The sequence below is a fragment of the Homo sapiens genome, chromosome 2, assembly GCF_000001405.40.
Source record: "Homo sapiens chromosome 2, GRCh38.p14 Primary Assembly".
NCBI classification, from domain to species: Eukaryota; Metazoa; Chordata; class Mammalia; order Primates; family Hominidae; genus Homo; species Homo sapiens.
The window spans coordinates 88,009,441-88,021,845 of NC_000002.12; the positions used below are offsets into that span (position 1 = coordinate 88,009,441).

Below are 12,405 nucleotides of genomic sequence, written 5' to 3' on the forward strand. Positions count from 1 at the left end.
CACGCCTGTAATCCCAGCACTTTGGGAGGCCGAGGTGGGCGGATCACTTGAGATCAGGAATTCAAGATCAGCCTAGCCAGCATGGCTAAGCCCCATCTCTACTAAAAATAAAAAAATTAGCTGGGCATGGTGGTGCACGCCTGTAGTCCCAGCTACTCGGAAGGCTGAGGTAGGAGAATCGCTTGAACCCAGGAGACGGAGGTTGCAGTGAGCCAAGATCATGCCACTGCACGTGAGCCTGGATGACAGAGCGAGACTCTGTCTCAAAAAAATAAAAAAAATTTAAAAAAAAGCTTCATGGTGGCTGGGTGAGGTGGCTTACACCTGTAATCCCAACACTTTGGGAGGCCAAGGAGGGTGGACTGCTTGAGGCCAGGAGTTCCAGACCAGCCTTGCCAACATGGCAAAACCCCATCATCTCCACTAAAAATATAAAAATTAGCTGCGCATGATAGTGCACACCTGTGATTCCAGTTACATGGGAGGCTGAGGCAGGAGAATCGCTTGAACCCAGGAGGTGGAGGTTGCAGTGAGCTGAGATTGTACCACTGCACTCCAGCCTGGGTGACAGAGCAAGACTCTGTCTCAAAAAAATAAAATAAGTAAATACAAAGTAAAAGCTTCATAGATATATAGTTCAACTGGAATTGATTTTTGTGCAAGCCGTGAGGCAGGCATCCTACTTCATTTGTTTGAAGATATGGTGGGGGGAACCCAAGGGGTTTCTGTTTTTTCTGTTCTCTCACTCAACAATCAACACAGAAGACTTCTGTGACCAAATGTATGGAGTTTTCCCCCACACACCAAGCAAACAGTCAATTCTGCAGCTGACACCAGTGGGTGCACTCTAATCTAATTCACTTCTCACACTCTCAACCTGGAGATGGCGTCAGGTCCCACAGGTTGAGGACTCAGTCCCCAAAACTGCCCCTGCCCCTGACTTTGGAGGCCAGTTGCAAGCCCCAGGCTGTTTTACTTGTGCTGCTGATCAACCAGCTATGAATTAGGGTTCCCAGGACCTCCTCCTTAGGTTCAGTTAATTTGCCAGAGTGGCTCACAGAACTCAGGGAAACACTTACTTATGGTTGCTAGTTTATTATAAAATATATTAGAAAGGATACCAATGAACACTAGATGAAGAGCTGCAGAGGGTGAGATATGAGGGAAGGGGGGGGAACTTCCAGGTCCTTCCCAAGCTCCTCCCCATGTTCCACCCTCTAGGAACCTCCATTCGGCTGTCCACAAGCTCATCTGAACCCTGTCCTTTTGGGTTTTTATGGAGGCTTCACTACATAGGCATGATTGATTAAACCACTGGCCATTGGTGATCAACTTAGCCTTCAGCCCCTGTCCCCTCCCTGGAGGTTGGGGGTCAGAGCACAAAAATCCCACCCCTCTAATCCTGCCTTGGTCTTTCTTGTGACTAGCTCCCTTCTGAAGCTACCTAGGGGTTGCCAGCCATCAATCAACTCATTAGCACACAAAAATATATCACTTTGGAGAGTCTAAGGATTTTAGGAGTTGTATGCCAGGAAATGGGAAGACCAAATATGTATCTCACAATATCACATACCATACTTTTCCAACACCATTTACTGAAGTTTGTCTCCCTCACTGCTCTGAAGTTCTTTGTTATTTTATTTTATTTTATTTTTTTCTTATGTTGGACTGGTAACAGGCAGACCTTACCAGGTTTGAGAAAGGCTCATCCCACACATGAGTGTGAAAATCCAATCATCATGCTTATGAACTGCAAACAGATCTGCCTTTGTTATTCAACAAATGTCCATTTGTTCATAGTTCTGCATCTGGTTTCTGTATTCTGTCATATCTTTGCACCAGTACTCCTCTGTCTTCATTACTGTAGCTTCATGAGAAGTCTTTATATTTGCTAGAGCAAGTCATCTCCCTATTCCTGTCTTTCCGTATTCAAGTATGTGTTGATTTCTCTTGGCATTTTGTTTATATATAAACTTTAAATCTGGCTCATCAATTTCTGTAAACACTTGCAGTTTTGCTTGGGGCTACACCGAATCTGTAGGTTAATTTGAGGAGAACTGACATCTTTCCAGCGTTACAACTTTCAGTATATGAATATGGCTTACGGCTCCATTTATATAAGCATTCTTTATTCTTTTGTGTTCCCAGAAGATGGACTTTGTCCACCAAACTTCTCCTAGAATCCTGAAAGGCCACACGTTTTAAGCCCTAGGCCCAATGTCACATATAATGCCTGTGCAATTTGTGGGTTTGCTTATTTATGTCAGATGTAATTTCGCTTTTAAATGTTTTATTTATTTTTTTGAGAAAGGGTCTCACTCTCACCCAGGCTGGAGTGCAGTAGCGCGATCACGGCTCTCTGAAGCCTTGACTTCCCGGGCTCCACTGATCCTTCCACCTTAGCCTCCTCAGTAGCTAGGACCACAGGTGTGTGCCACAGGCATGCACACATGCACAGGTGTGTGCAGTAGAGACAGATTTTCACCATGTTGCCCAGGCTGGTCTCAGAACTCCTGAGCTCAAGTGATCCTCCTGCCTTGGCTTCCCAAAGTACTGGGATTACAGGTATGAGCCACAGCACCCAGCTAGGTGTGATTTCAAGTACTGAAGAAGCTTACAAAGATAAGGACTTTATTAAAAGAATATTTGCAGGATGGGTGTAGTGGCTCACTCCTGTAATCCCAGCACTTTGGGAAGCCCAAGGTGGGCAGATCACCTGAGGTCAGGAGTTCGAGACCAGCCTGGAAACATGGCGAAACCCCATCTCAACTAAAAATGCAAAAATTAGCCAGGCATGGTGGCATGCGCCTGTAATCCCAGCTACTTGAGAGACTGAGGCAAGTGATTCTCTTGCATCCAGGAGGTGGAGGTTGCAGTGAGCTGAGATCGCGCCACTGCTCTCCAGCCTGGGCGACAGAGTGAGACTCTGTCTCAAAAAAAAGAGAGAGGAAAAAAAAAAAAGGCTGGGCACGGTGGCTCACGCCTGTAATCCCAGCACTTTGGGAGGCCGAGGCAGGCAGATCACAAGGTCAGGAGATCGAGACCATCCTGACTGACACGGTGAAACCCCATCTGTACTAAAAATACAAAAAAATTAGCCTGGCGTGGTGGCGGGCACCTGTAGTCCCAGCTACTCGGGAGGCTGAGGCAGGAGAATAGCGTGAACCCAGGAGGCGGAGCTTGCAGTGAGCCAAGATCGCGCCACTGCACTCCAGCCTGGGCGACAGAGCAAGACTCCTTGTCAAAAAAAAAAAAAAAAAAATTGCAATGTGAAGAAATTTGGGAGAAAGGAAGATAAAGTGGGAGAAGAAACAAAATGGAGGCCCCTGCAAGTCCAGGCTGTGTAGCTGCCCAGTCTTGGTGAGATTATTGTCACCATTGAGCAGGTAGGCACAGATTTCACCTTTGGGCAGCCCTGAATGTCAGGCTCAGCACCATGAAATTTCACACTTTATTGTGGGCTCCCTAATGTTGCGCTCTGATTATTTGATTCAAGTAACATATATGGGCATGGTACTGGCACATTTCATCTTCAAATAACCCTTGCTGAGGCAAATGGGTTTTTTTTTTTTAGTTCCATTTTAAGATGAAAAGTAAAGTTTAAAGAGGTTAAGTGACCTGCCCTTAGCCACCTATAGAAAATAGCATGTTCAAACCCATCTTCTGATTCCAAGGCCAATGCCTGCCCTCCTTCCATTCTACCTCCCCACAGTGTGTGGGATTTCTGCTCTTGCTGTTTTATAAGCTCTAGAGACTTGGAAGATATCTAATGTACAGAAGGCAGATGCTAGTTATTATCAGACAAGCTGAAGTGAAAGCAGGAAAGGGCTCACTTCTTTTCTTTCTTTCTTTCTTTTCTTTTCTTTTCTTTTTTTGAGATGGAGTCTCACTCTGTAGCCCAGGCTGGAGTGCAGTGGTGCAATCTCGGCTCACTGCAACCTCTGCCTCCAGGGTTCAAGTGATTCTCCTGCCTCAGCCTCTCGAGTAGCTGGGACTACAGGCATGCACCACCATGCCCAGCTAATTTTTGTATTTTCAGTAGAGACATGATTTCACCATGTTGGCCAGGCTGGTCTTGAACTCCTGACCTCAGGTGATCCACCCGCCTCTGCCTCCCAAAGTGCTGGCATTACAGGCCTGAGCCACTGAGCTGGGCCAGGAGTCACTTAATGATGGCATTGCCAAGGGCTGTAGATGCTGAAATTTATCAAAAAGGGATATTCTTGTTGCTGTGATGGACAAGGGCTGCCCCACCCAGACTCCTTAAGGCTCTTCCAGCCCTGAAATAAACCTTGGTGTGGAGCATTTATATGCTAAACAGATCACTTTCTTGCTTACTTTATCCATTATTTCCATGGCTCTCTCTTGTCCCTAAGCTGCTCCTATGTCTACGGTTTCACCCTGGAGGGCCAAAAGTTCCAATAACCAAGTAAAGCCCATGCTTGCTTAGCCCACAAAGGGGAACAAGTACTGCATACTTCCCATTTCAACATCTCTTTTGGGGGTACCAGGGTATAAAACTCCCTTGTCCTGCTTTTATTATTTATTTATTTATTTTTGAGAAAAGGTCTGCTTCTGTCACCCAGGCTGGAGTTCAGTGGAGCTATAATGGCTCACTGCAGCTTCAACCTCCCTAGGCTCAAGTGATCCTTCTACCTCAGCCTCCCAAGTAGCTGGGACTACAGGCGTACACCACCATATCCGGCTAAGTTTTTGTATTTCTTTCTAGAGACAGGGTTTTGCCATGTTGTCCAGGCTGGTTTCGAACTCCTGGGCTCAAGTGCTCTGTCCACCTCAGCCTCCCAAAATGCTAGGATTACAGGCTTGAGCCACCATGCCTGTCCTGTCCTGGTTTATAACAGATGAGGTGAGGCTGCTATGCAACTTTTATTTTGAAAAAGAACTATGCAGTTAGATTTCCCTGACCTTTCCTCAATGAGCAACTCATTTCCCCATCTTCCTTTAATCTTGTCATAACGTACCCAAGGATGATATAAACCCACCTCCACCAACAGTAGAAGAAAGACTCAAAAACACCACACCTTTACCAATCAATGGCTGTGTCCTCAAGCCCTTAGGAGTAAATAAGTTTTGCAAATGAAATTTTATTTTACCTATAGAAAGACTAAAGATTTGTAATCAAAAATGCAATTTATTGCTTCTACCCAAGATCAAGGGTAGTATCTGTGCTTATTATGTAATATCTGACACATCCACTTCCTGAGAACAAAATAATAAGTGGGTTTTAGGAGCAGAAGAACAGTGCTCCAGGTAACTGATGACTCCAGTATGGCTCTATCCCTCATGCCCTCCGTTTTAATATGAAACCTGCCTTTTTCCCTTTTATTTATTTATTTATTTTTTACTTTTATTTTTTGAGGCGGAGTCTCCCTTTGTCACCCTGGCTGGAGTGCAGTGGTGGATCTCTGCTCACTGCACCCTCTGCCTCCAGGGCTTAAGTGTTTCTCCTGCCTCAGCCTCCGGTGTAACTGGGATTACAGGCCGGGTGTAACTGGGATTACAGGCGTGCACCACCACGCCCCAGCTAATTGTTGTATTTTCAGTAGAGACTGAGTTTCAACATGTTGGCCAGGCTGGTCTCGAATTCTTGACCTCAGGGTATCTGCCCACCTCTGCCTCCCAAAGTGCTGGCATTACAGGCGTGAGCCACCGCACCTGGCCTTTCCTTATTTATTTTATTTTTTTGAGACAAGGTCTCTCTGTCGCCCAGGCTGGAGTGCAGTGGCTTGATCTCAGCTCACTGCAACCTCCACCTCCCAGGTTCAAGCAATTCTCCTGCCTCAGCCTCCCGAGTAGCTGGGATTACAGGCACCCGCCACTACGCCCGGCTAATTTTTGTATTTTTAGTAGAGATGGGATTTCACCATGTGGACCAGGCTGGTATTTTTATTTTTTTTTTTTATTGAGACAGAGTCTCGCTCTGTTGCCCAGGCTGGAGTGCAGTCGCGGGATCTTGGATCACTGCAACCTCCACCTCCCAGGTTCAAGCGATTGTTCTTTGCTGAGATTACAGGCACCCACCATCATGCCCAGCTAATTTCTGTATTTTTAGTAGAGACAGGGTTTCACCATGTTGGCCAGGCTAGTCTCAAACGCCTGACCTCAGGCGATCTGCCCGACTCGGCCTCCCAAAGTGCTGGGATTACAGGCGTGAGCCACCACGCCCGGCCTCCTTTTTATCTTTGTTATTTTTTGAGACAGGGTCTTGCTTTGTCATCCAGGCTGGAGTGCAGTGGCACAATCATGGCTCCTTGACCTCCTGGATTCATGCGATCCTCCCACTTCAGCTTCTTGGGTAGCTGGGACTACAGGCATGAGCCACCATGCCTAGCTAATTAAAAACATTTTTTTTTTGGTAGAGTGCCAGGTGCAGTGGCTCATACCTGTAATCCCAGCACTTTGGGGTTGGGGGTGAGGATCGCTTGATCCCAAAGCCCAAATCCCAGGAGTCTGAGACTAGTCTGGGTAACGCGGGGGAAACACCCCTCTCTACCAAACAAAAACAAAAACCATATATACATATGAAAACAAAAAAATACACACTAGCCCGTTGTTATGGCACGTGTCTGCTGAGAGGCTGATGTGGATGTTCGAACCCAGGAGTCCAAAGATGCAGTGAGTAAGCCAGGATCGCACTATCTCAAAAGACTGAGTCTCGCCATATTTGCTCAGGCTGATCTTGAACTCGTGGGCTCAAGCCATTTTCTTTCAAAAAGAGCTGGGATTGCGTGTGTCAGCCACCTCGTTTTGGAAAATTTAATCAAAGTTGTAGACCCCTGTTTCTTAAACTGCTAGCATACCTGTTTTTTCTTCTTTAGCCATATTGCTGTGAAATTGGAAGCAACCTTCTGAGGTTTCCAAAATTACAAACCTGTTTTTGTCACTAATGGTTAGCAGGTGCACCGTTTCTGGAAGTACTGCAATACCAAATCGATGCGTAGACTAGATAGAGTAAACTCTTACTCCAACTCCCCGTTCCAAAACTGCGTTTAATATAGCGTTCATCAAACAGAAGAACATACCAGATATTAAACTGATAAGAACACACACTACACTCAATCATTAACCAAACAGCAAAAAAGAGATACCAGTTACCCGGGGCCTCCCACGTCCTCCCTTCTTTCATCCACCTTAAGGTCACGGTGAGAAACCTCACCTTCGGTAAACATCTCACCTGCTTTCTGATGTAAATATTATATTGAAAACATAGGCCCTTTGAGACATTTTGTCCGCTCCTTGACTCTTAGTGACTTCGAGCTTTGTCGCCCCTTTTCCTTGGTCGCGAGGGCCGTTCATTTGCATGTCCCACCCGCTCTGCGCCCGGGAGGCGTGGCCACCAAGGGGCCGGGCCCTGCACAGCGCCCTGGGGAAGCTGGTTTGAAAGCTCTGGAGCGACCCCAATGCCGGGTAAAGGACAAGATTTGCCCAGACGGAAGGGAATTTGGGGTGAAGTGGCCGTAAAAGTGTGGGACGAAACTGTTTCGGGCAGAGCGGTGGGAACTCACCTGAGGAAAGCATGGGGGAGGAGTCACTAATAAGAATGAGTGGCAGGGACAGGGCGGCCTTGTAACGCCCTCGGTGTTGGAAGGGAAGACCGTACAGCGCGATGGGGACCAGGGCGGCGGGCCGCAGCCAGGGTGTGGGTGGGCGACGGTCAAGGTGCCTTGAAGCGGATTCTGTCCTCGGGAGCTGCGGTTCTTCCTCCTCCGCCCTCACCGGCGGGCGACCTTAGGCAGGGCGTGAAATGCAACGGGAGCCCTGGAGGGAGGGTGAAGCCGCGCGTGCAGGAGGAACCTCCTTTTGGCGAGTTCAGGCCCCGCAGCTGCGGAGGTGGGGGACCCTGTGTGGCAGCCTGCTGAGAGGCTGCGTGCTCCGCGCGGTTGGAGGGGGGAACCTCCAGCCCACCTCCTCTTTTTCAGCCGAGAAACCGCTAGTTACCCCCTTTCTTATGCGACCAAGATTGTAATAACCCTGTCACCTTTCACGGCCCTCCGGGTCTGCGCCCATCCTCCTCTGAGGATTCGCTCATCCACCCCGAGGCCTGTTTTCCTCACTTGTTGTCCCTCTGGCAGACCCTAGGCCCCTTGGAGTCCAGCCACCATCTATCTGCCCGCTGTTTCCACCCACCACACTCCCTCCCCAGTTCTATCCCAGCTCTTTAAACGGTTGGAGTTCAAACCTCAGACCATGACAGCACACGGGCCTGGACTCCGGTATGGCCCTGGACAAGTTCCTTAATCTCTCTGAGCCTCAGCTTTGTTCCGTGTGAAGCAGCGGTAACATTGTTATTAGAAGCCTCCCGGCCCCAGCACACCGACGTACATATAAGTGGATATCCATCCTGCCTGTGAGGGGTCGTCTTTTCTTTGGGTTGTTTGTTGTCCACAGAGGTCCATACTTTATGTTCCTGGAGGCACCAGCGGAGTCACTGATGCACCCCTGCATCCAGCATGTTTAAGGAAGACAGTCTGGGGAGGGCAGGGAAGAGCCTAGAGGGTCCCCTAATGATTAGGGCTGTGATGGGGATGTTACTGGAAAAGGGTCCCTATCCAGACCCCAAGAGAGGGTTCTTGGACCTCCTGCAAGAAGGAATTTGGGGCAAGTCCATAAAGTGAAAGCAAGCTTATTAAGAAAGTAAAGGAATAAAAGAATGGTTACTCCATAGGCAGAGCAGCGGCATGAGCTGCTCGACTGACTATACTTACAGTTATTTCTTGATCATCTGCTAAACAAAGGGTGGATTATTCATGAGTTTTCCGGGAAAGCCAATTCCTGCAACTGAGGGTTCCTCCCCTTTTTAGACACTATAGGGTAACTTCCTGATGTTGCCATGGCATTTGTAGACTGTCACGGCAGTGGCAGGAGTGTCATTTAGCATGGAAATGCATTATAATTAGCATAGAATGAGCAGTGAGGATGACCAGAGGTCACTTTCATCACCATCTTGGTTTTGGCCAGCTCCTTTACTGCATCCTGTTTTATCAGCAAGGTCTTTGTGACCTGTATCTTGTGCGGACTTTCTATCTCATCCTGACTTAGAATGCCTAAGCTAGTGGGAATGCAGCCTCGCAGCTCTCAGCCTTATTTTACCCAGCGCCTATTCAAGATGGAATCGCTCTAGTTCGATCGCCTCTGACAGGGGCAGTGCACTTTCACATCTTGGCCTTTGCTGCCTTATCCTTCCAGATCTTTCAGATGCTTGCCCTCTGGCATTCTAGGATAGGAAGGCTGCTTCCAAAGTGACGCAGGATTTTTCTCAATTTTCCAACTGCAGACTTCTGGCTGGTGATGCCCCTGCCCATGCCTAGCTCTGCCCCAGGCAGGAGGTGCCCTGCCCACTTGGGCTTGCACTCTGGTGGGGATCCTGCAGCCACCGAGACTGCATGCTCAGCCCCAGTAGGAGGGGGTGTGTGATCAAGTGAGTGCCTCATCTTGCCAGCCACTCCAAGTGCTGGCACAGGAGTGGGGTCCCTTTGGGGCCTGCAGCTGGATCAGGCCTGTCAGAAGCGACTCCTGGGGTGAACTCTGGCATCCAGATGAAGGGAACGTGGTGGCACCCAAACAGGAAAGCGCTCGACTCTGAAGCCCCAGAGGGGGTGTTACAGCCATGCTAACAGCTGTTTTAGTCCCACTGTCAGCAGCCTGACAAACAGGGGCATGTTAACAACAAACGGGGGGTGTGTTAACAACTCTGTCAGTCCTGTTGCCTGCTCCTGCTGGAGGCTCCCTGGCTGGCCTGGCCCTGCACTGCTGCTCATGGCAAGGGGTTGCCACTGGGCACAGACGGTGGGGGAGATGTGGAGGGCTATGGTGTTACTGCCTTTTTCATACCCTTTGCTGACAATGGAAGGGTGAAAAGGGCGGAGAAGAGTTTTATGAAGCGATGAAACAGCTCTCAGCTGAGAGGGGATGCAAGGGTGGTCCCTGACCTGAAGTCGGGTGGTCTCTCTCTCAGTGTGGCTGGGTCTGGGGCTTTTATGGGCTCAGAAGTGGGGACTGCATGCTGATTGGTTTACAAGTATGCAAAAAAGGCTAAAACAAAGGCACCATTCAAAGGTGGCATGACAGTGTAGAAAACCAATTAGGGAAGGGTAGATACATGTAAAGTAAGTGAAGGGTGGGGATCAGTCAGAGGAAAGTGCACCAACAGGAAGAGAGGTTCTCAGTTCAGTCCATGGATTTATCCAAGACTTGTAGCTTAGCTTTCCGACTTTAAACTGCCTTTGGTTTGAAAGTTGGGTTTCATTGGGGACATGCCACTATCTGCCTAGGGGTTTGTCTGCCTCCTGCCACTATTAAAAGTACTAAATCAGTGCATCTAGCCCGAGGGCTGCCCCTAGTCCAGCCAGCAGAGGTTTTTGTTTTGTTTTGTTTTTCTTTTAATTAAAATTTTAATTAAAAGGGACTAATATAGAGGGTTTTTAAAAAATTACCATATGTGTTGAGTATTTATGCTATGCCAAGCACTTCCCATATATTTTCTCATTTAATCCTCAAAATAGCAAGGGTGATTGCCTTATCTCCATCCTATAGATGAGAAAGCTGAGACTCAGAGAAATTAAGAAACTCATATGAGGTCATGTTGTAGGTAAGTTAGTTTTTGCTGCATCATAAACCACCCAACTATTTATGATTTCAAACAGGTAATACTTGTTTCTCAACAACTGGTTGGGGGCTGGATGGCCAAGGGGCCTCATATTTTAGGGACAGGAGGAGCTCATCGTCAGCTGGGTGATGGGGATGCGACTGCAAGTCTCATCCAGGAGAGCTTGAACATAGGGGTTGAGTTGCAAAAGCAGCATAAGGGCAGCAACACAAGAACTTTCCATGTCTCACTTATGTCATATTTGCTATTCTCCCATTGGCCAAAGCAGGTCACAAAGGCATGGCCAGCCGGTATGGAAGGGGACAACCAAAGGGGTGGACACAGGGAGTGAGAATTGCTGCTATTTTCCCCAACAAAGAATCTACCATCCATAGCTTCTAAGTGTACAACTGGAAATCAAAACTAAGTTTGTCTTACTTGAAAGTTCAAAACTGTCTTACAGCTACTGCCTGGGGTCTAGGAATCCAGAACATTCCACACATTGCCTAAGTCAACAACCTGTTGCACACACACACCTGCAACTGTTTTGCAAAAGTATGTGGATCTGGTTGTCATTGATAAAATGCAAATTAATTTAGATGTATTATTCAATTCATAGTATAATTTTGTTGTATTTTCAAATCAACAGATATTTACGTAATTTCGAAGCAGCTCTTCACAAAATATTCATCAGTTACAGAAGGAAGTCACTTCACAGTGGAAAAATCTGGCAGGTGCCACCTTAATCAAGTAACCAAAATGAACATCATCAGTAATAGGACAAATTGCAATCGTGTGCCTCCTGATAGTCTAGCAAGAAGAACACAGCATCACTTCTATGATGCTCCTGCCAATAATATATAATTGGAATCTAATCCTAAAGCAACAAATTCAAATTAAGGAAAATTCTACAAAATAATTGGCCTGTAATAGAAGTGTTAAAGGTCATGAAAGTTAAGGAAAGACTGAAGAACTGTTCCAGACTGAAGATGAAAGAGATGTGAGAAATAAGTGCAGTGGTGATTCTGAACTGGATCCTGACTTGGCAAAACTTGAATAGGTCTGTTGGTTGGATGGTAGAAATATAGTAATGTTGATTTCCTGATTTTTGCTAGCTATATTACAATTTTATTGGATTCAGTCCTTGTTTACAGAAGACACACAGTATGTAGGGGTTATAAGAAGTCAGCTCAGGAACTTTCAAATCATTTAGCAAAACAAAAGTTCTTCGTACTTTAATTCCAAGACTTCTATAAATTTGAGATTATTTTTAAAATACTTAAAAAAAACTCCTTTAAAGTCTCTCAACATGCTGTCCTATTAATAATAGATTTCTAAATTTTTTATTTTTATCAACGTTTTGTGTGCCCATAGTTTGAAGTATTAAATTGTTTTTATTTATTAAGGAGATCGAGACCATCCCGGCTATAGCGGTGAAACCCCGTCTCTACTAAAAATACAAAAAATTAGCCGGGCGTAGTGGCGGGCGCCTGTAGTCCCAGCTACTTGGGAGGCTGAGGCAGGAGAATGGCGTGAACCCGGGAGGCGGAGCTTGCAGTGAGCCGAGATCCCGCCACTGCACTCCAGCCTGGGCGACAGAGCGAGACTCCGTCTCAAAAAAAAAAAAAAAAAAAAAAAAAAAAAAAAAAAAAAACATTTTTTAATGTCACTCCATTCAGAGGTAATGAAGTGTTAATTTTTTTTGTTTGTTTTTGCTTTTGTTTTTTTTTTTTTTTTGAGACAGTCTCGCTCTGTCACCCAGGCTGGAGTGCAATGGTGCAATCTCGGCTCACTGCATC

General features: G+C 46.8%; 1 long non-coding RNA gene and 2 other non-coding genes across 5 annotated transcripts, besides 3 other annotated features; 1 reads left to right on the forward strand and 2 right to left on the reverse strand.

The window, feature by feature from the left end:
• Nucleotides 1–1,661: 1,661 nt before the first annotated feature.
• Nucleotides 1,662–1,762, reverse strand: LOC124906185 (small nucleolar RNA U13). The gene has a single exon (XR_007088769.1). It is a non-coding gene; the product is annotated as a small nucleolar RNA U13 (small nucleolar RNA).
• Nucleotides 1,763–6,917: 5,155 nt separating this feature from the next.
• RNU2-63P (RNA, U2 small nuclear 63, pseudogene) lies at nt 6,918–7,107 on the reverse strand. The gene has a single exon (NR_199865.1). It is a non-coding gene; the product is annotated as an RNA, U2 small nuclear 63, pseudogene (small nuclear RNA).
• Nucleotides 7,130–7,279: an enhancer, noted in NCBI's record as "active region_16166". NCBI's record gives its function as "activates an Ori minimal core promoter by ATAC-STARR-seq in GM12878 lymphoblastoid cells {active_cell/tissue: GM12878}" and the evidence as "EXISTENCE:reporter gene assay evidence [ECO:0000049][PMID:35858748]".
• On the forward strand, nt 7,199–11,711 carry LOC105374852 (uncharacterized). Of its 3 annotated transcripts, none has more exons than XR_940335.4 (3): nt 7,215–7,428; nt 11,070–11,161; nt 11,256–11,711. It is a non-coding gene; the product is annotated as an uncharacterized LOC105374852 (long non-coding RNA). The 3 variants fall into 3 exon arrangements; XR_940337.2 differs by lacking the exon at nt 7,215–7,428 and adding an exon at nt 7,438–7,851; XR_940336.4 differs by lacking the exon at nt 11,070–11,161 and having other exon boundaries at nt 7,199–7,428.
• Nucleotides 7,530–7,599: a silencer, noted in NCBI's record as "silent region_11726". NCBI's record gives its function as "represses an Ori minimal core promoter by ATAC-STARR-seq in GM12878 lymphoblastoid cells {active_cell/tissue: GM12878}" and the evidence as "EXISTENCE:reporter gene assay evidence [ECO:0000049][PMID:35858748]".
• Nucleotides 9,614–10,129: an enhancer, noted in NCBI's record as "H3K4me1 hESC enhancer chr2:88318573-88319088 (GRCh37/hg19 assembly coordinates)". NCBI's record gives its function as "activates a minimal SCP1, AML or CMV promoter by ChIP-STARR-seq in naive H9 embryonic stem cells {active_cell/tissue: H9 hESC(naive)}" and the evidence as "EXISTENCE:reporter gene assay evidence [ECO:0000049][PMID:30033119]".
• Nucleotides 11,712–12,405: the final 694 nt, after the last annotated feature.